The following is a 22,991-nucleotide window of genomic DNA, read 5'->3' on the forward strand; positions in this document are numbered from 1 at the left end:
TTTTTTTATTTTTAGTAGAGATGAGGTTTCATCATCTTGACCAGGCTGGTCTTGAACTCCTGACCTTGTGATCCACCCGCCTCAGCCTCCCAAAGTGCTGGGATTACAGGCGTGAGCCACTGCACTGGGCCTCCTATGTTTTCTTAATTTATAATGATCTATGTACATTCCCAAGCTTTTAAGAGTAAACAAATAATTAGGCACCTATTATGTGAAGCCCTGGGCTACAAGTAGCGGGTATGAGGACAAGTACAGGGCTTCACAGTAGAGGAAACCATATCCACAGTTTTCTTAACCACAAGTAACATCATAAAGCTGTGACTGAATCATTTGGGGAGTTAAGTTAGTGAAAATTTAAATACATGTAAAATTTCGGGGTTTTGACATAAAGACTTGGTCTGATAACTCCTGTAAGAATTCAGTAGATATCAGGTCAAACTTTTTCCTTTAATTTTTAAAATTTTATTTTAAAATTATTATTACTATATATTTTTAGAGATGGGGTCTTGCTCTGTTGCCCAGGCTGGTCTTGAACTCCTGGCCTCAAGCGATCCTCCTGCCTCAGCCTCCTGAGCTGCTGGGATGACAGGTGTGAGTCACTGCGCCTGGCAAACATTTTCCTTTTTGCTTCTGGAGCTGGAGCTACCTAATTATGATGACTACCAAGATTTATATAAAGCATTTTTGGCCAGGTGCAGTGGCTCATGCCTGTTGTCCAAGCACTTAGGGAGGCCAAGGTGGGAGGATCACTTGAGACCAGCCTGGGCAAACAAAGCAAGACCTCATCTCTACAAAATTAATAAAATAAAATAAAAATAAAGCACTTTTAAGTATTGTCCTAAGTGCTATAGGGAGAAACAAAAATAAGCGTAAGATGTGATCCGTTTCCTTAAAGAACCTAGAATGTATTTGGGAAAGTGGAAACAAATACAAATTTACCAATAGGTAAATGAGTCAGGTGACAATTAGGTATGAAGCCAAACAGCACATCTGTGAGTGTGGCAGAATTAGAGATAAAGATTATACTAAACTGGCCCAAGACATTCAAGAGATACTTTGTGGAAGATATAAGAAGTAGGGGACCAAGCAGAAAAATCCTTTGTCATAATAAGACAAGGATAAGAGGGTCTTAAATTTGGGTAACAGGAATTAGATAGCGTAGAGATAACATCTACAGACAACCATGACTGATTTGAAATAGGGTGAAAGAATGAGGACTCAAATGTGATTTGAGCATTTAGACTTGAGGTGATGGAAAGAGTGTTGATATCAATAGGGAAAGCAGGGAAGATGAGCTGGTTTGGGAGAGGTATTCAACTTCCTTGATAGGGTTCTGAGGCGGAAATGTCTAAGAGCCTGTTGGAAATCTGGGATGACAGTTTGGGAGGGAAGTCAAAACCAGGTGTATATATTTATGAGCTTCCTCCCCCCCCTTCCTTCTCCTCTCTTTCCTTTCCTCCTTCCTATCTTTCTTTCTTTAGCCCATTCACTAATTCCTTGCCTTAGTCCAAAACAGTGGTCAAAACAAAAAACGTCACAAATTTAAGTATTTTGAAAACTGTATTCAGTATAACTGGTTTCCTTTGTAATGTCAGGCATTTTATCATTAAAATCATTATTTTGAGAAGGGGTCCTTCCATGGGCTTCACAACATCAGCAAAGGGGTAAATAGCACAAAAAAGGCTGAGAACCCCTCGTCCAACTACATAAGAGAGAAAACTAACATTGGCCAGGCACGGTGGCTCATGCCTGTAATCTCAGCACTTTGGGAGGCTGAGGCGGGCAGATTACCTGAGCTCAGGAGTTCAAGACCAGCCTAGCCAACATGGTGAAACCCCGTCTCTACTAAAAATACAAAATTTAGCTGGACATGGTGGCAGGTACATGTAACTCCAGCTACTCAAGAGGCTGAGGCAGGAAAATCACTTGAACCTGGGAGGCAGAGGTTGTAGTGAGCTGAGATTGCGCCATTGCACTCCAGCCTGGGTAATAAGAACAAAACTCTGTCTCAAAAAAAAAAAAAAAAAAGCCCAGGTGTGGTGGTGCATGCCTGTAACCCCAGCTACTTGGGAGGCTGAAGTAGAAGAATCGCTTGAACCCGGGAGGTGGAGGTTACAGTGAGCCAAGATCATGCCATTGCACTGCAGCCTGGGCAACAACAGCGAAACTCTTATCTCCAAAAACAAACAAACAAACAAACAAACAAACCAAAACCAGGCTGGGCGCGGTGGCTCATGCCTGTGATCCCAGCACTTTGACAGGCCGAGGCAGGCGGATCACAAGGTCAGGAGTTCGAGACCAGCCTGGCCAACATGGTGAAACCCCATCTCTACTAAAAATACAAAAATTAGCCAGGCGTGGCAGTGCCTGCCTGTAATCCCGGCTACTGGGAGGCTGAGGTAGTAGAATCACTTGAACCTGGGAGGCGGAGGTTGCAGTGAACTGAGATCATGCCACTGCATTCCAACCTGGGTGACAGAGCAAGACTCCATCTCGAAAAAACAACAACAAAAACCTGAAAAAAACAAACAAAAAACAAAACTGAGTATTTTCCATTCATTTCTTCTATAAATTGCCTAATAGTGTGCCTTACCGATTTTTCTCATCTTTTTCTTATTGAGTTGTAGGAGCTGAAGGGCAATACTCTGAAAATCAGCAAGAATCATAAACCTCAAATTAAATATTTAAGTGCCTACTGTGCACAGCCAGTGGTCTGAGAGCTACACAGGTTTTCAAGTAACAGAATCCTGTCCAGCATGGTAATTAAGCACCATGTCTGGTGATTAAGGATCCAATTTAGGAAATTTCTGACTTTGGCACTCATGAGCTGTGGCAATCTTGGGCACATAGCTCAATATCTTTAAGCCCATATCCTCAACTGTATTATTGGGATAACACATTCATAACCCTATGATAGAAGTGAGAGTACGTGAAAAGGATTTAGTATGGTGCCTGTCGTGTGGCAGTGTGCAAAAAGTATCAGCTATTATTAGCTATTATTAATGACCAGGGCACATTTGCAAAAGTGTCACTCAGCTTAAATCAGTGCATCTCATGACATGCTTTTGTCTCTGTAAAAATTTAGTCTTTCAGAAGACTGAGGAGAAATGAGAGAAACTGTTATTTTGGACCTAATCCTCACTGGTGAAACATGATTGGTAATGTGCAAATGGGAGGAAGCTTTAGAGAAAGAAGCCATGTTGTTTGGAGATCAAAAAACAAAGGAAGGAGAATGCTGCACATATTGGATAGGCAGATTTCAAGTTTTTCAAAGGAAAATTAGGATCAATTCCAAGATCAGAAACTGTGTAAGGAAGCTCAAGAAGGCTTGGAAGCTCTCAAAAGCATAACGCTGACTGCATAATTGCAAAATACACTGATAAGAAGAAGAAAAGGGGAACGTATCTAAATCTGATGCGCTGCACAGAGAGCTTTCTGGAATTCAGATGTTAAAAAACCACTTACAACAGATGGTAAAAATTGGGCACATAAAACAAGTATTATAACGAGTGAAATAGAGCTACAAGAATATAGTGAATAAGGCTAAAGCCTCAGGATGAACTGTGACTTGACGAAGTAAGAGATGTGGAATAAATGGCATTTTATAGGTTAAAGGAAGAGTGAAGCCCACCCCCATCCCATAGGGTGGTTAATGTAATATTAACAAATAACAAAGAGAAACAACCCTACTCCTGTTTGATTTCCATTCTTAGCTAATGTCTTATGCCTTCTAATCTGAGGATTAAATACAATTACTAAGAAGAAACTTAAATCCAAGATGGTTGAGAACAAAAAGAAAAACTAGCTAGTTATTCTCAGCAAGTTCAAGTCATTCGATCTCAAAACTAATTTCCTGGGATCCTTGAGGCTTCATAGATAAGGCTGCTTAATTGCTTTCTGCAATCTGTGTGGAATTGCGATGAATGGGACAGGACTAGAAGCCAGACAGATTCCTGAACTACAGACTGGTTAGCCTGAGGTAGATCCTGTATTGTTGAAAAATAGCCCACCAAAACAAAAAAGCGCCCCACACTTGGAGGCAGCATGAACTCACAGGGTAATGCCAAGGCTGACTCAGTTTCCTGTTGAATTTTTGATGATGTAACAGCACTGATAGAGAATGAGAGAACCTATGACTTCAGCAAAGTAATCAACAAGGTCTAATCATAAAGAAAAGAGAAACACCAGGGACCCATGAACCACCTGAAATTGCAGCAATAATTGTGTGTTAATGCATTTGGGGGGTAGGGTGAGGTGACTGGAAGTTCAGTTTTTATCAGGTGCTCCAGGGACCCACGAATTCCAAATGTAAAGCTTCGACTGACTATCCTCAATATGAACTAAAGTGATATGGCAGCTGTAGGAACAAAACTGTAAACTAAATTAAAAGGACAGACAATCCTGGTCGGGCACGGTGGCTCACACCTGTAATCTCAGCACTTTGGGAGGTCGAGGCGGGCAAATCACTTGAGCTCAGGAGTTTGAGACCAGCCTGGGCAACATGGCGAAATCCCGTCACTACAAAAATAATAATAATTAAAAAAATACAAAAAATAGCTAGGCGTGGTGGCATGCACCTGTGGTCCCAGCTACTCGGGAGGATGAAGTGGGAGAATCGAATAGCTTGAGCCCAGGTTGAGGTTGCGTGAGCCATGATAGTGCCACTGCACTCCAGCCTGGGCAACAGAGTGAGACCTTGTCTCAAAAAAAAAAAAAAAAGAAAAAAAGAAAATAGGCAAGTCCACCCTCTCTATTCAGGTAAAACCACAACCAAGACAGTGTGAAGTTATTATCACTATACTATTAAACACTGACAAAGTGGACCACATCTGGAAGACAGTGAAGGGATCCAAAGGGAGAATGGTCAAATGGGTGAGGAATGTTTCAACACAAGAGAAGACTCAGAAAGATGGCAACTCTTTTCAGGACCAGTAAGTGGAAGTTAAGAGGGAGATTTTATGCCAGTGTAAGAAAAAGTTCTGTAGTAAGAACTGTCAAGAGAATGGATGCTCATTGCATTATTGTTTGTAAGAGCACAAAACCTGGGATAACTCCAATCACCTATCAATAAGACATTGGTTGGATACACTCTGGTATATACCATATGCAGCTGTGAAAAAGAGTGAGGTTGATCCATATGCACTAACACAGATATTCAAAATGTTAAATAAGAAAACTGCAGAACAGTATGTGGCTCATCTTTTCATAGAGAAGGCACTTCTCCCATCCTTCATTTCTCACATAACAGTTTATCTGTGTATCAGGTACTCTCAAAGAGGTATGGAAAGAACGACATTTCTTTCATGTTCTGAATTACTTTCCTTTGCCTTTCACAGGATTAAACAGCTGTCATGTTTTAAAGCTTGGAAAGAATGTTACTACTTTTCTTGCTTTGATACTTTAAAAAACTGTATAATGAAAAGCATTTTGTCTTATTCTGAATATATCATATAATTATATATAATTTCAGTGGTCTGAAAAAAAATTTTTTTAATTTACTGATTATTTAATAAAATAGAGATTGGGTCTCACTATATTACCCAGTCTGGCCTTAAAATCCTGAGCTGAAGTGATCTTCCCACCTCGGCCTCCCAAAGTGCTGGGATTACCAGCATGAGCCACCTTGCCCAGCCTGAAAATGTAAATTGTCCATTTCCTCTAAACATCTTTTACTTTAATTGTGTGTGCATGTATGATATAGCTGACAATGAAGTATGAGAAATGATTAACTTTGAATACAGTTCCTGTAAATATGTATACACATACACACACACACGCATATATACACACACACAAATATATAAAGTTGGAGAAATAACTAGCCATTACAGCTGGGCAAATATTTCATGTTTCTCCATTCACTGTCAAAATGTTATATCATAGTGAAACCCAGTCTCTAATAAAAATACAAAAATTATCCGGGCATGTTGGTGTGCGCCTGTAGTCCCAGTTACTCGGGAGGCTGAGGCAGGAGAATTGCTTGAACCCGGAAGGTGGAGGTTGTGGTGAGCCAAGATCACGCCACTGCACTCCAGCCTGGGCAACAGAGCGAGACTCTGTCTCAAAAAAAAAAAAAAAAAAAAGGCTGGCTAAAAGCCTAAAATAATTCTAGACTGTAGCCAGTTAGAGTACATTTTTTTTTAATTCCAGATTTTTTAATCAAATAAAGGTAGTAAACTCTGTGGAAATCCCTATTTTAATTATATTGCAAGTTACATTTTAATTCTCTCAAAATTAAAGACGGTATATACAAATTACCTTTAAAACTTAAGAATCTGAATACCATGTGGCCAGGCTGGTCTTGAACTCGTGACATCATGATCTGCCTGCCTCAGCCTTCCGAAGTACTGGGATTACAGGCATGAGCCACCGTGCCCAGCCTAGCCAGCCAATTTAAGATACACTTTTTGAAAGAAAAAAAAAATTGAGACGGATTTCACTTGTTGCCCAAGCTGGAGTACAATGGTGCGATCTTGGCTCACTGCAACCTCCACCTCCTGGGTTCAAGTGATTCTCCTGCCTGTCTCCCGAGTAGCTGGGATTACAGGCACATGCCACCATGCCCGGCTAATTTTTTGTATTTTTAGTAGAAATGGGGTTTCACCATGTTAGCAAGGCTGGTCTCGAACTCCTAACCTCAGGTGATCTGCCTGCCTTGGCCTCCCAAAGTGCTGGGATTACAGGCATGAGCCACCACACCCAGCCACGAAATAATTTTTAAAATATCCAATATGCTTATATTAAATCAAAGAAACAAAATACCTTTTATTAGTTTATCTATCAGAAGGGGTGGAAGTGGGGGAGCAATTCCTGAACTTAAGATGGTGCCTGGCCCTATTAAAGAGGTTACCTGTGTGAACAGGCACCTCTCTGGCCCTTTCTACATCCAAAAAATGCTAACCTAATCGCTCGAATGACAAGTACAAGGAGGTATCAAGACTGAGTCTTGGTTGTCAGTTTTATCATCTCTTCTCCACCATGATGCAATCTTCCCAAGTAGTTACTATCGTGGTGCTTTAATGCTGAAACAAACCATATCAGGCCGGGCGTGGTGGCTCACGCCTGTAATCCCAACACTTTGGGAGGCCAGGCGAGCGGATCATGAGGTCAGGAGTTCGAGACTAGCCTGGCAAACATGGCGAAACCCTGTCTCTACTAAAAATACAAAAATTAGCTGGGCGTGGTGGGGGGCACCTGTAATTCCAGCTACTCAGGAGGCTGAGGTAGGAGAATCGCTTGATCCCGGGAGGCAGAGGTTGCAGTGAGCCGAGATCGCACCGCTGCACTCCAGCTTGGATGACAGAGCGAGACTCCATCTCAAAAAACAAAACAAAACAAAAAAACCCTGTATCAGCTACATTTGATATAATTTTGATTCTCAGTAAAACATGGAGCAGTCTTTAGATGCTATATTGCAAAACTATGTACCCTGGTATGAGAAGTCTTTATTTGTAAAATCTTGCTCAGAACTAAAGCTTATATTGATTTACGTAAAACAAAATCATCACAAAAAAAGCTAGGTGCAATATGCCTTTAATCAATCCCTTTGTCCTGAAAAACTGAGTTAATGACCAAGGATAAAGCTATGAAAAATCAGTTCATGCTAAGCATAAATCCTTTCAGTCATACTGTATTTATAGTCAATACCAAATGGTAAATAAAGATAAATCGTAGTAAGAATTTACTCACCCTCTTCTCTCCAAGCAGGCAAAGTCAAAAATGAACTGAACTTCAGAAGTGAACTTCAGAAGTAAAGTGACCAGGGTAAATAGGGGTGAGGGAGAGGTGCCCTCAGGGCAAGAGAGTTTTAGCACAATTTGGTAAAGTTCTCTATCCCTTCAACCCTTTTAGAGAGTAAAAAATACTTAAAGAATAAATGTGCTTACAAAGTCTAATTTCCTTCAAATTTCAGTGCAATAGTAATAGAACACTATTAGAAATGTAAAAGGCTGGGCATAGTGGTGTGCCCCTGTAGTCCCAGCTACTCAGGAGGCCAAGGTGGGAGGATCACTTGAGCCCAGGGATTCAAGGCAGCAGTGAGCTATGATGGTGCCACTGCACTGCAGCCTGGGCAACAAGGCAAAACCTCGTCTCTAAAAAAATAAAATTTTTGGCCAGGCGGGGTGGCTCACGCCTGTAGACTTAGCACTTAGGGAGGCAGGTGAACACCTGAGCTCAGGAGTTCAAGACCAGCCTGGCCAACATGGTAAAACCACATCTCTACTAAAAATACAAAAATTATCTGGGCGTGGTGGTGTGCACCCGTAGTCCCAGCTACTCGGGAGGCTGAGGCAGGAGAATCACTTGAACCCGGGAGGTGGAGGTTGCAGGGAGCTGAGATTGTGCCATTCCACTTCAGCCTGGTCAACAGAGTGAGACTCTGTCTCAAAAAAAAAAAAAAAAAAAAAAAATTTTTTTTTTTTAAATTTTAGAAAAAGAAACTAACAAGCCTCAGCTAAGTGCCATGGCTCATGCCTGTAATCCCAGCACTTTGGGAGGCTGAGGCGGGAGGACGGCTTGATGCCAGGAGACCAGCCAGGAGTTGAGACCAGCCAAGACAACACAGCAAAACCCCATCCCTACCAAAAAAACAAACAAAAAACCCTAATAAGCCTCCGAGGTAGAAAATAATGTTTGAGACGGAGTCTCACTCTGTCACCCAGGCTGGAGTGCAGTGGCACAATCTCAGCGCACTGCAACCTCCGCCTCCCAGGTTCAAGTGATTCTCCTGCCTCAGCCTCCTCAGTAGCTGGGATTACAGGCACGCACCACCATGGCCTGGCTAATTTTTGTATTTTTAGTAGAGATGAGGTTTCGCCATGTTGGTCAGGCTGGTCTCGAACTCCTGACCTTGTGATCCGCCCGCCTTGGCTTCCCAAAGTGCTGCGATTACAGGCGTGTGCCACCGTGCCCAGCAATTTTTGTGTGTGTGTGAGACGGAGTCTTGCTGTTGCCCAGGCTGGAGTGCAGTGGCGCGATCTTGGCTCACTGCATGCTCCACCTCCTGGGTTCATGCCATTCTCCTGCCTCAGCCTCCCGAGTAGCTGGGACTACAGGTGCCCACCACCATGCCCGGCTAATTTTTTGTATTTTTTAGTAGAGACGGGGTTTCACTGTGTTAGCCAGGATGGTCTCGATCTCCTGAACTCGTGATCTGCCCGCCTCGGCGTCCCAAAGTGCTGGGATTACAGGTGTGACTTAGGACCATCTTTTTATTTTCTGGTTATATTAATATTTAGATAGTACAACTAAGTTCTAGAATTCACAACTTATGAGGGATTTTATTTTCCTATTTATGATAGAACAGGAAAGCCAAATAAAAGGTTTCATCCTAAAACTAACTTTTGAATGAACAATGCTTACCTATTACACAAGTGGCATTTTCTGAATAATAAATTTGGAACTAAAACTTAAAAGCCTTAACTCATAGTACTTCCCCTTCTTCCTTTCCTGCTCCAAACCTTTTCTCCAGTCATTTCCAGACTCTCTGATCCTTTTCAATTTCTGCTTATCATTTGTTTTTTTCTTCCAATTTCTTAAGAGTTTCCTCATTTTTTTAAATGTATTTATTTATTGATTGAGACGGAGTTTCGCTCTTGCTGCCCAGGCTGGAGTGCAGTGGTGCAGTCTCGGCTCACTGCAACCTCCGCCTCCTGGGTTCAAGCGGATTCTCCTGCCTCAGCCTCCCGTGTAGCTGGGATTACAGGCGCCTGCCACCAAGCCCAGCAAATTTATTTGTATTTTTAGTAGAGACGGAGTTTCACCATGTTGGCCAGGCTGGTCTCAAACGCCTGACCTCAGGTGATCTGCCCACCTTGGCCTCCCAAAGTGCTGGGATTACAGGCGTGAGCCACTGCGCTTGGCCACGGTTTTCTCCTTTTAAATGTCAAGAAAGCTGTCCCTGTTCCACGTCTTCCTTTTTAATTTCCAATTGTCCTATGCTTGTTTTCATCTTTAATTTAAAAAGAGAGGCCTGGCGCGGTGGCTCATGCCTGTAATCCCAGCACTTTGGGAGGCCGAGGCAGACGGATCACGAGGTCAGGAGATCGATACCATCTTGGCTAACACGGTGAAACCCCGTCTCTACTAAAAATACAAGAAATTAGCCGGGCGCGGTGGCGGGCGCCTGTAATCCCAGCTACTCGGGAGGCTGACACAGGAGAATGGCATGAACCTGGGAGGCGGAGCTTGCAGTGAGCCGAGATAGCGCCACTGCAGTCCTGCCTGGGCGAAAGAGCGAGACTCCGTCTCAAAAAAAAAAAAAAAAAGAGAGAATCAGCAAGTAAGATTGAACTTTTACACTCCAATTTTCAATAGGTTCCTGTCTGTCTAATACACTCCCCAAGATACTATCTTTCCTTCCTAAGGCCCTAATAGTAGTCAACACCTAGATTACAGGCACTCTTCAGGAATCTGTGAACCTGGAGTGAATGCGAGTCAAAGGTAGAAAATAAGAACACTCTACATCTATACATAAAAGGCAGAAAACTTTAGAGGAGAAAAACACCTTGCGTGATTTCGAAAGAACTGCACATGCGTTAATTACAATCTTCCAAAGTCCATGGGGTTGGGGAGGAAGGGTTGGCAAAAAGGAGTCCGATGCAGAAAAAGACATTAAGTTAACTGAGAAAGTACACTTAACCCACTGACCTAGTTTCTAACAGAAAACCTGCTCATCTCTATGCTTTCACTCCAAGAGGTGAGTTCATTGTTAATTTAAGCAATTTCAAGTTCTAGCTGCATATTATCTGGTATCTGAAGGAGATTTAGAACTTTTTCAAAAACAACTCAAGCTTATTAGAAATTCTAATCAAATTTCACATTTGAAATAAAGGTTACTATCTTTTAAAAAGTTGGCCCGGCCGGGTATGGTGGCTCACACCTGTAATCCCAGCACTTTGGGAGGCTGAGGCAGGCAGATCATGAGGTCAGGAGATCGAGAAACATGGTGAAACCCCGTCTCTACTAAAAATACAAAAATTAGCTGGGCGTGGTGGTGCGTGCCTGTAACCCCAGCTACTTGGGAGGCTGAGGCAGGAGAATCACTTGAACCAGGGAGTTGGAGGTTGCGGTGAGCAGAAATTGTGCCACTGCACTCCAGCCTGTGAGACTCCATCTCAAAATAAATAAATAAATAAATAATAAAAAAAGTTTGTTAGTGTCAAACACAGCACTGCTTATATTTCTCACATATTTCTAAAACTGAGGGCTTATATTTCTCATGTACTTCCAAAACTGAGGGTTAGAGGGAAATTTCTACTTCTCTAGATTTATCTGGCTCTAGCTGAAGTCATTAGATATAAATGAACTGTTTTTTTCCAAAGAGTTTTTGGCTAAATTATGGTAACACTGCAGTTGATGGTTTCCTGGACAGAAATTTTGCATTGGTCAAGTGCTGGATTAGTTAAAACATGTTCCAATGCCTAAGTGAAGGAATTCTGGAGGGGCATACAGCACCTACAGTTTACATAGATGTGGCTTTGCCCAGGCAATTTCATTTACCAAATGGGTTGTGCCTCAATTAACCAGAACAGCATTACCACCTAAGCATGAGATTATATTAAGGACAATAAATGTCCCCCATTTTAAAATGTAGCTTTTAAATACACATTTAAAAATGTACCTCAATTTCACCCGGCCCAAAGTTGTGAATATTCTTATAATAAATTCTCTGTAAGTTACAGAAATCCAATTTTGGGGGGATATACTGAATTACATTTAACAGACTGGGGAAAAAAGTACATTAGGGGGTCTATCATGAGCCAGTTTATAAAATAAAATATTTGGAATAAGCATGATGGCTGTATTTAAAGCAGAATACTTCTATATAATCTACTTCCTTAATAGCCAATGAAAAATGAACTATAAAATCCTAAATACAAAGCTGAACTAATGTGTTTTTTCTCTTTATCGGATTTAAAATAGATTTCTTTCCCTCTGAGAAAGTGAAAAGATTTTATGATTATGTAAGATACTGTATTTTACATATTAATACAATTTCTAAGGGGATCATTGGGATGCTGAATCTTACCTTATGCATATTTATAATACTGAAGATACCCTGGGTTCAAAAATATTAAAATGTCACTGTACTAGAGAATCAACATATGGGTATTTTAATGAATAATTTAACAATTTTGCTTTAAAAATCTTTTATGTACAAAAAAAGTCAAGCATAGGCTGGGCGTGGTGGCTCAAGCCTGTAATCCCAGCACTTTGGGGGGCCGAGGTGGGCAGATCACTTGAGGTCAGGAGTTTGAGACCAGCCTGGCCAACATGGCAAAACCCCATCTCTACTAAAAACACAAAAATTAGCAGGGCGTGATGGCACACACCTGTAATTCCAGCTACTCGGGAGGCTGAGGCAGGAGAATCGCTTGAACCCGGGGGGCGGAGGTTGCAGTGAGCCAAGATCACCCCACTGCACTCCAGCCTAGGAGACAGAGCGAGACTTGACTCAAAAAAAAAAAAAAAAAAAAAAAAAGAAGAAGAAAAAAATATATATATAGGTCGGGCGCGGTGGCTCACGCCTGTAATCCCAGCACTTTGGGAGGCCAAGGCGGGTGGATCACAAGGTCAGGAGATCGAGACCATCCTGGCTAACACAGTGAAACCCCGTCTCTACTAAAAATACAAAAACTTAGCCGGGCGTGGTGGCGGGCGCCTGTAGTCCCAGCTACTCGGGAGGCTGAGGCAGGAGAATGGCGTGAACCCGGCAGGTGGAGCTTGCAGTGAGCTGAGATCGCGCCACTGTACTGCAGCCTGGGCAACAGAGCGAGACTCTGTCTCAAAAGAAAATGAATAAATAAATAAATAAATAAAGAAAGTATAATATGCATTTTGCCAAATATACGTTTACTTCATAAAATGTTTTCAATAAAACAATCATTGTTTTTTAAAAATCAAAGACCAAAGAAAGCAGTTGAAACTATTTAAATCTTCACATCACTGAAATTCAGAATGACAAATGTCAGGCCTTATCTGTTAACATGTGCAAAGACCATCAGAGCTAGTAAAAATACATGCCACAGACATTTGCATAAGTAAAAACTGAAACTGTAGTCTAGTTTTAAAACTAGGAATCCACTATAGATCAAATGAGTCATAAAAATCCTTAAATAACTATGTCAGAAGGACAAGATCCTTAAAATTTCAATTTCTTTGATTATTTCAGTGAAAACCCAAGATTTGTGCTTTCATATCAAAGTTTTCCCACACTTTATATGTATTTTTCAGTGCCATTAAATTTCCTAGGCTATGTTTTTTTTTTTTTTTTGGATGGGGTGGGGTAGGGGATTGGGGGGAACAGGTTCTCACTTTTATCGCCCAGCTGGAAGGCAGTGGCACGACCGTGGCTCACTGCAACCTCGACCTCCTGGGCTCAAGCAATCCCTCCCACCTCAAACTCCCCAGTAGCTGGGACTCCAGGCATGTGCCCCCACACCCAAATAATTTTTACATTTTTTGTAGAGATAGGTTTGCCTACTTTGCCTAGGCTGTTCCCCAACTCCTGGGCTCAAATAATCCTCCTGCCTAGGATTCCCAAAGTGCTGGGATTATAGGCGTAAACCACCCTTCCTAGCCCTTCGGCTATGTTTTGCTCATGTAAACACCTTAGAATTTTTACAACTCTGTAACATACACTTGCCCTTAGGCTATGTTTTGTTAATGCAAACAGCTTAGAATTTTCATAGCTCTTTAACAACTTCAGAATGACCCAAGCTAGGCCACAGGTTAACAGCATGCTTCCTGCACTTTAGGGTCTTCTCCCTATTCTATTAGCTGTAACAGGAAGTCCCAGATTGGGAAGCAGCTGCCCTGGCTTTCAGTCTGGACAGTGCCACTTGGTCTGGAATAAGATCCTTAACCTTTCTGTGCCTGTTTCCTTATCTATAAAATGGGGATAACATGTAGATGCATGGCCAGGCGCGGTGGCTCACCCCTGTAATCCCAGCATTTTGGGAGGCCGAGGCAGGCGGATCACGAGGTCAGGAGATCAAGACCATCCTGGCTAACACAGTGAAACCCCGTCTCTACTAAAAAAAAAAAATGCAAAAAAATTAGCCGGGCGTGGTGGCGGGTGCCTGTAGTCCCAGCTACTCAGGAGGCTGAGGCAGGAGAATGGCGTGAACCTGAGAGGCAGAGCTTGCAGTGAGCCTAGATCGTGCCACCGCACTCCAGCCTGGGCAACAGAGTGAGACTCCGTCTCAAAAAAAACCAAAAAAAAAAAAACAAAAAAAAACCATGTAGATGCTACCTATATGTACGGTAAGAGCACTTAGTACATGACCTAGCATAAATATATGTGTGTGTGTGTGTGTGTGTGTGTGTGTGTGCTCGTGTGCACATGCAGTGTTCAGATAAACAGTATTGCTGCCTCTAAGGAACTCAGGAAATTTGGAAGCCTTGGCCTCTTCGATGATGGTCCCACAGAATACTTAGTACAAAAATTAAGACAATCTGGCCAGGCACGGTGGCTCACATCTATAATCCCAGCACTCTGGGAGGCCGAGGCACGAGGATCACTTCAGGCCAGCTCAAGACCAGCCTGGACAACAGTGAGACCCTATCTCTACAAAAAAAAGTTAAATATTAAAAAAGAAAAAAGTATACTAAAAAAAAAAAAAAAGTTAAGACAATCTTATCTTCACCTAAGGAGAAAATCCAGTAGAGGACTACATAGATACTGCAGAAGGATAAACCCAAAGATTTCAGCACAGCTAGAGGACATGACTTGTGTCCCTAGAACGAATGGGGGCTTTTCCTTGGGTTGAGGCAGAATGCCCCCTTCCCTACACTATTAAGTCACTGTTCAAATCTGTTACTACCAAAGGAAGAATTAAGAATCTCCACACACAAAAAATTAGCCAGGCATGGTGGTGGGTAACTGTAATCCCAGCTACTCGGGAGGCTGAGGCATGAGAATTGCTGGAACCCAGGAGGTGGAGGCTGCAGTGAGCTGAGATCGCAGCACTGCACTCCAGGGCCAGAGTGAGACTCCTCTCAAAACAAAACAAAACAAACAAAAACAAAACAAAACAGGATTCCCCAGGGAAAAAGAGCAATAAAAACAATAGGAAAAAAATCAAAACATCAGAGACAAATGATTTACATAATTGATGTGGGGCTGATTATCACTAAACAAAAAATAAAAGAAATACATTATTGGCTGGGTGGGGTGGCTCACGCCTGTAATCCCAGCACTTTGGGAGGCCAAGGCGGGTGGATCATGAGGTCAGGAGTTCGAGACCAGCCTGGCCAAGATGATGAAACCCTGTCTCTACTAAAACACAAAAATTAGCCAGGCACAGTGGCTGACGCCTGTAATCCCAGCTACTCGGGAGGCTGAGGCAAGAGAATCGCTTGAACCTGGGAGGCAGAGTTTGCAGCGAGCCAAGATCACGCCACTGTACTCTAGCCTGGGCGACAGAGCGAGACTCTGTCTCAAAAAAAAAAAAAAAAATACATACATACATATATATAATTTAGTTTCAATTATTTCTGCCACATCAATACATTGAGAATAAAAGACAAAAATCCACAAAACTGAATTCTCAGTTTCACAGCATTTTGGAGGAAAAAAAAATATGTCAGGCTGCTGTTATTCAAAGGCGCAAATGGGTTTATTTTTCAAATGGCGTAGACAACCCTCCTTTGCAGATACTGTATTTTTATAACCAGGTCTAATAACTAAAGCTGAGGAACTATTTAACATGAAAAGTGACCGACCAAGTTTTCAGTGTGCTTTCTAGAAAAAAGAGAAGATGCAAGAAGTAAACAGAGCCCCAGAGGTAACCATGTGATTAGAAACCAATTAAGTTAAGCAATTACTAAAAGTGCTCTATGACCTTTGGGCAAGAAAGGATCACAAGTGAAACTCTGATATAAAAATGAAAATGCTTACATGCAAAAAAAGGCCAAGGCTGTTTCAGAGAAAGACTATTTTTAAGAGAACTATTTGCATGGTAAAATGTGCCCAGGGATGGTTGATCAATGTAGATAGAAGAGTTATAGTCTACTTGTTTAGAAATGCCAAAATGATGTTTTTAGACATATAACATGTTTTCATTGTCAAATTTAGTTAGTATTCACAGTAAAACGGGGAAAACCAGAAGGTAAGAGCAGGGAAGAAAATCACCATTAGGGCCTATTGGTTTTCAAGAGCTATTTTGTACGTCCTTGCTATATTTTAGAGGAATAAGAAACTCTATTAATGTATACCATGCAGAACTCTTCTCAATGCCAATTTCTGCATGTATTACTTAAATTTATTTTTAAAAAGAGATCTAGCCTGACTCGGTTCCGATTTAATTGATGAAATGAAAAGAAAAGCTACAGCAAACATGTAATATTTTGCATAAAGTAATTATGCTTCAACTTTAAAAGTACTTTTAAAATAAAACTGTTTTACTACCTACGTGGTTTATCTTTCACCCACAAAATGTATTTTACAAAACCTAAATGCACAACAAATCAGGCTTCTTATACATAAAGTACTCTTATGTTATTCATTCTTGAATAACATAAGAAATAACAAAATGAAGTTATTCATTCTTGGCTCTTAAGTCTGTGAATCTTATCTATAAAGACATACACTGCCTTAACTAAATGATGAGTACTGTCTATTGCTTTCAAATGCACTAACCTTCTCAAAAACGCTGGTTGGGGTCATCAAGCAAAACCGGATATTCTGAATGATGGTATCGGTATGTCTCCAGCGTCTTCTATCATGCCGCAGCCAAGACTGCACAGCCTCGTACAGCTCTATCTCTGGGAACCTGCTCAGATGATCATTATCCAAGTAAGACATGAGCTTCTCAAAGCTCAGATAGGACAGAAAGTCAGGCCTAGACATGAGTGGCACAAAGTTGTCTAGCAGAAAGGTGTCTAACTTCTCCCTGACTCCCTCGATGTTTACGCCGAAATCATCTAAGAGTCTCATAATTTCTGCACAATTTTCTAGGCAGATCTTCGCTAAGAGAAAAGAGCAGCAGAACTTCACCACTTCTATAAGTTGAACATACATGGCAGCCTGAAGAATCTCATGAACGGTATTCATACTCAGCTCTATAGTTCCATAGTACATAAATTGCAGGACATGGCTGAAACCGGTAGCTGTTAGACCTTTTAAATGAATTTTGTCCTGATCTCGTTCCCTCATGTCTGCAGTAAACATAATTCTGAAGTAATCACTCTGGGTGGCCAAGAGTGCTTTATGGGCCTGGAACTGATGATCTTCAATAACCAGAGTGACATCAAGAAGCAATCCCTCCTCATACAGTGCTCTGAACCCAGCAGAGACACTGGTGTCGTGGATGGAGGAACAGAATCCTTCCACGTCCCCTGCCATGAATCACCTGGAAAAAAATCAAAGACAACAATGTTAAACACTTCCATGCATTCAGAAGAAAATATTAACTTAGAGTTTTAACAATTTTTGCTATTATCTCAATTCTACTGACTAAGTCCAAAATGTACAAGTCCTTTGGGAGAAGACAATCTAAAGGTTTGCAGACTAATATTTCTGGCTTCCCTATCTAAGGAAAAGAATCTATTAAAGATACATCAATAGTTCATGCCTATAACCCCAGCACTTTGGGAGGCCAAGGCAGGAAGATCGCTTGAGCCCAGGAGTTGGAGACCAGCCTAGGCAAGATGGCAAATCCCTGTCTCTACAAAATAATAACAATAAAAAAAAAAGTAGCTGGGCATGGTGGCACATTGCCAGCAGCCCCAGCTTCTTCAGAGGCTGAGGTGGGAGATTCCCTTCAGCCCACGAGTTTGAGGCTACAGTGAGCTATGATAGCACCACTGCACTCCAGCCTGGGCAACAGAGCACGACCCTATCTCTTAAAAATATATATGTCGGCTGGGCGCGGTGGCTCACACCTGTAATCCCAGCACTTTGGGAGGCCGAAGTGGGTGGATCACCTGAGGTCAGGAGTTCAAGACCAGCCTGATCAATACGATGAAACTCCAACTCTACTAAAAATACAAAAAGTAGCCAGGTGTGGTGGCATGCACCTATAGTCCCAGCTACTCAGGAGGCCAAGACAGGAGAATCGCTTGAACTCGGGAGACGGAGGTTGCAGTGAGCCAAGATCATGCCACTACATGCCAGCCTGGGAGACAGCAAGACCCCATTTCCAAAAAAAAAAAAAAAAAATATATATATATATATATATATATATATCAAACAATGGTAAATTGTTATCTTACAAATAATATATGCCTATTCCATTGATTTCATATTGTTCATCAAATATACTTTGAACAGGTTCCAAAATTAGCAACATAAAAATGATTTCACAGCCAAATACTAAATAATGAGAAAAGGGACAAAAATGAAACTAAAAAGTATACCTGAAAACTCCTAGAAATTTACCTAAAGGAAATATTCAAATAAATAGGCAAGTTGTACATATAAGGTTTTTCTATCTAGGCTTATTATTTAAAAATCAGAAACTATTCAAAAGTCCAATAACAAATTATTAAAACATGATACAGTCCTACAATAAATTATCAATTTAAAATGATGTCAACAGTTTATTTTTACAAAGAATATTTATCAGATATTGTATGAAAAAAAAAACAAGTGACTGCAGTATACTGAGTACGTCTTCGAAAACTAAATACGCATATATTTGTTAGATGAGAAAAAGTCTGGAGAAATATATACCAAAATAATGTCCCTGGGTAGTAGGTTTTCAGGAGAGGCTTTCTTTTCATTTACCTCATTACCCTTACTTTGAAAAACAATAATGATGTAATGCTTATATATTTAAAAATACAAATATATAATTTTAAAGGAAATTAAACCAAATCTTTCCATATCAGAGAAATGAAGGTAAAATAGAGAACTATAATTAGATATCTTAAATACAGCGGAATAAACTAATTCAGTCTATTTTTTTGTTTTCGGAGTCTTGCTCTGTCATCCAGGCTGGAGTGCAGTGGCACAATCTCGGCTCACTACAACCTCCGCCTCCCGGGTTCAAGCGATTCTTGTGCCTCAGCCTCCCGAGTAGCTGGGACTACAGGCACCTGCTACACGCCCAGCTAATTTTTGTATTTTTAGTGAAGACAGGTTTCGCCATGTTGGCTAGGCTGGTCTAAAACTCCTGACCTCAGATGATCCGTCTGACTCGGCCTTCCAAAGTGGTGGGGTTACAGGCGTGAGCCACTGCGCCTGGCCACTAATTCAGTCTACTGGGTTATTTATGAAGCAAATTAATTTTCTCCTTTTCACATACCCCCACCCCAGACCATCTATCTTCTTAATTCTCATCCTTACACAGCTCCCGGCTTCCTCCCCAATGACCCATCCTCCATCCCTGAATTCTCTCCCAAACCTTTCCACTGTGCCCTGTGGAACCTTACTTCAATGTAAACAAAATCCCCTACATGCTCAGGTTGGTCACAGAAAGTTCCCTCCTCGACCTGATTTAAATGAGACATAGTTTTCCTAAAAGTCACAGCTTCCAGGCCTCCTGCCTCCAACCTCTAGCTCTACTCCCACGCGTGTTAGAAAAAAAAAAAACAAAACAAAAAAAAAACTTTTAGAGCTTACAGCCCTACTTTCCAAGTCTTCTTTCTCTTAGCTTTCTATTGTTCTTTTTCTATAACTTGGCCTTTTGCTCAGATAAAAATCCATCTTCTGTCACCCCTTGTCACTTCCATACACATCTTCTGATCAATCACTCTCAAACATTTGATGAAGACTTCAACACCTGGGCCAGGCATGGTGGCTCACACCTGTAATCCCAGCACTTTGGGAGGCTGAGGCAGGCGGATCACTTGAGATCAGGAGTTCAAGACCAGCCTGGGCAACATGGTAAAACCCTGTCTCTACTAAAAATACAAAAATTAAAGGCCGGGCGTGGTGGCTCATGCCTGTAATCCCAACACTTTGGGAGGCCGAGATGGGTGGATCACCTGAAGGTCAGGAGTTTGAGACCAGCCTGGCCAACATGGTGAAACCCCATCTCTACTAAAAATATAAAAATTAACCAGGCATGGTGGCGGGCATCTGTAATCCCAGCTACTCGGGAGGCTGAGGCAGGAGAATCACTTGAACCCGGGAGGCGGAGGTTGCAGTGAGCTGAGATTGCACCACTGCACTCCAGCCTGGGCGACAAGAGTGAAACTCCGTCTCAAAATAAATAAAATAAAATACAAAACAAATACAAAAATTAGCCGCACATGGTAGCGGGCGCCTGTAGTCCTAGCTACTCCGGAGGCTGAGACAGGAGAAATCTCCTGAACCCAGCAGGTGGAGGTCACAGTGAGCCAAGACTGCACCACTGCACTCCAGCCTGGGCGACAGAGCGAGGTTCCATTTTCAAAAAAAAAAAAAAAAAAAAAAGCCGGGCTCAGTGGCTCACGCCCGTAATTCCAACACTTTGGGAGGCTGAGGAGGGTGTATCACCTGAGGTCAGGAGTTCAAGACCAGCCTGGCCAACATGGAGAAACCTCCTCTCTACTAAAAATACCAAAATTAGCTGGGTGTGGTGGCTGGCACATGTAATCCCAGCTACTTGGGAGGCTGAGGCAGGAGAATCGCTGGAACCTGGGAGACGGAGGCTGCAGTGAGCCAAGATCGCACCACTGCACTCCAGCCTGGGCAACAGAGCAAGACTCCATCTCAAAAAAAAAAAAAAAAAAAGACTTCAACACCTGGCTAAGTCATCTTTCACACCTCTTCAATGTTCACATAAGATCAGCCATCCAAAAACTGTAAGTCAAAACTCCCTGACCATCTCAACTCCTACAACCTCCCCACTTATTCCATTGCAAACCCTACTCCCACCCCACTTGGACCTGTTCCTGATCCAAAACTGGTCTACATCTGAAATCTTAACTGTCAACTTCCTACTTAACCTTCCTACTCTCTTTTCACTTGGTCTATCATCTCCTAACTTAACCTCTGTCCTTCTCCAGCTTAGACCTTACCATATCAGAGCAACCACTTTCTTACCAGGGCCTTCATTTCCCTTAACTCTCTGCCTGTCCTCCATCCCTGCCCTGCTAAACAAAAACTATGCCAACTGGTCCTTTAATCTTGGGCCAATCTTCAGTGCCTCTTGGCAGTTTCGTCCACCGAACAGTTGTGAGGCATTCCCTGCTGGTATAACACTGAAGCACTATCAAAGATGTTCCCAAACTAAGGACAGCAGATATGGACAAATCTCTGGGATACTACAGCCATTTTTAAGCACTTTCTAGAATATCTCATGACTTGGAATCATATGTTGCAGCTATTTTCTAGAACATGACCTACAAACCACACTAGCCTAAAAGAGCACTAAGGATGTGGCAGCCAACATCTACGGCTCTGAATTTCCACCAGTGACACTGCTGGGACCCAATCTCCCAAGTTCTGTCCTTCCCCTGGTTAGGTATTTATATGGACCCCGAGCCCTCCAGAGAAGCAGCGGACACTACAGTCAACTGCTGTCACTTGCTCTACACCTCCTTCTTTAGGGAGGCTGTCACTGCCAGTGTCACCACTCTGTCAATGCCTTCCCATTTCATTTACTAAAAGGAAGAGCCCTTGTGTGTGCCAGGTACTGTGTTAGGTATGGAGATGAGTGCCATTTGGGAATCCCTCTGTACTCTGGGTTTGGCTGAGCCCTCAGTTGCCAAGAAGGAAAAGGTGGCATCTATGTACACACTAAAAAGACGCCACTTCTCCACTCTCATGAATAAACTATCACTAGATTTACTACTTTGTTTCATCAATATGTTGTCCATGATACCCTTTATTCAACTTCCTGACAGATTAACCCATTTATTCAATAGTTATCCCAGCCCAAAGTCATCTCAAAAAAAAAAAAAAAGAAAAAAGAAAAAAGAAAAACCCTTGTTAATAAATAAGAAAAGGCAGGCATGGTGGCTCATGCCTATAATCCCAGCACTTCGGGAGGCTGAGGTAGGAGGACTGCTTGAGGCCAGAAGCTTGGGACCAGCCTCGGCAACATAGTGAGACACTGTCTCTTAAAAAAAAAAAAAAAAAAGGGCCAGGCGCCGTGGCTCACGCCTGTGAGCCTCCCAGCACTTTGGGACACCAAGGTAGGCGGATCACGAAGTCAGGAGTTCCAGGCCAGCGTGGCCAACATGGTGAAACCCCATCTCTACCAAAAATACAAAAATTAGCCAAGCATGGTGGCGCATGCCTGTAACCCTAACTACTTGGGAGGCTGAGGCACGAGAATTGCTTGAACCTGGGAGCTGGAGGTTGCAGTGAGCCAAGATTGTGCCACTGCACTCCAGCCTGGGCAACAGGGCAAGACTCTGTCTCAAAAAAAAAATCAGCTGGGCATGGTGGCTCACATCTGTAGTCCTGGCTACTCGGGAGGCTGAGGTGAGAGAATCACCTGAGCCCAGGAAGTTGAGGCTGCAGTGAGCCATGATTATGCCACTGCATTCCAGCCTGGATGACACAGTGAGACCCTGTCTCAAAAAAAGAAAAAAAGAAAAAGTCTAAAAGGATAGAATGCCAAAAACATTAAAAACGGTAGAGTAGGCCAGGTGCGGTGGCTCACGCCTGTAATCCCAGCATTTTGGGAGACCAAGGTAGGCGGATTGCTTGAGGTCAGAGTTCAAGACCAGCCTGGCCAACATGGCAAAACCTTGTCTCTACTAAAAATACAAAAATTAGCTGGGTGTGATGGCGGGTACCTGTAATCCCAGCTACTCAGGTCGGGGGAGGCTGAAGCAGGGAACTGCTTGAACCTGGGAGGTGGAGGTTGCAGTGAGCTGAGATCGTGCCACTGCACTCCAGCCTGGATGACAGAGGAAGACCCTGTCTCAAAAAAATAAAAAATAAAAAATGGTAGAGTATCAGGTAGTTTTACTTTTATCCCTTCCTATTTGCTAATCTGTGTTTTCTAATCTATTTCCAATGAAAGTGTATTACTGCTTTTAAAAAAGTTTATAAAAATCTCTTTAAAAGGCCCTAATTGGTCCAATTCAGAGGTTACATCCTAGTC

At 42.2% G+C, this 22,991-nt stretch overlaps 1 protein-coding gene across 1 annotated transcript in view, besides 1 other annotated feature; it reads right to left on the bottom strand.

The window, feature by feature from the left end:
* The window catches only part of KLHL15 (kelch like family member 15), a 43,467-nt gene that overhangs the window by 5,624 nt on the left and 14,852 nt on the right, over nucleotides 1–22,991 (bottom strand). Inside the window, exon 3 of the mRNA NM_030624.3 lies at nucleotides 16,646–17,357. Within this exon, the coding sequence (NP_085127.2) occupies nucleotides 16,646–17,350 (705 nt within the window). The 5' untranslated portion in view covers nucleotides 17,351–17,357. The remainder of the gene's footprint in view (nucleotides 1–16,645; nucleotides 17,358–22,991) is intronic.
* Nucleotides 16,549–16,843: a silencer, noted in NCBI's record as "tiled region #13558; HepG2 Repressive non-DNase unmatched - State 23:Low, and K562 Repressive DNase matched - State 14:Gen5'". NCBI's record gives its function as "represses a minimal TATA promoter and a strong SV40 promoter by Sharpr-MPRA in HepG2 cells, with weaker repression in K562 cells {active_cell/tissue: HepG2 | K562}" and the evidence as "EXISTENCE:reporter gene assay evidence [ECO:0000049][PMID:27701403]".

The sequence above is a fragment of the Homo sapiens genome, chromosome X (genome assembly GCF_000001405.40).
Source record: "Homo sapiens chromosome X, GRCh38.p14 Primary Assembly".
Lineage (NCBI taxonomy): Eukaryota > Metazoa > Chordata > Mammalia > Primates > Hominidae > Homo > Homo sapiens.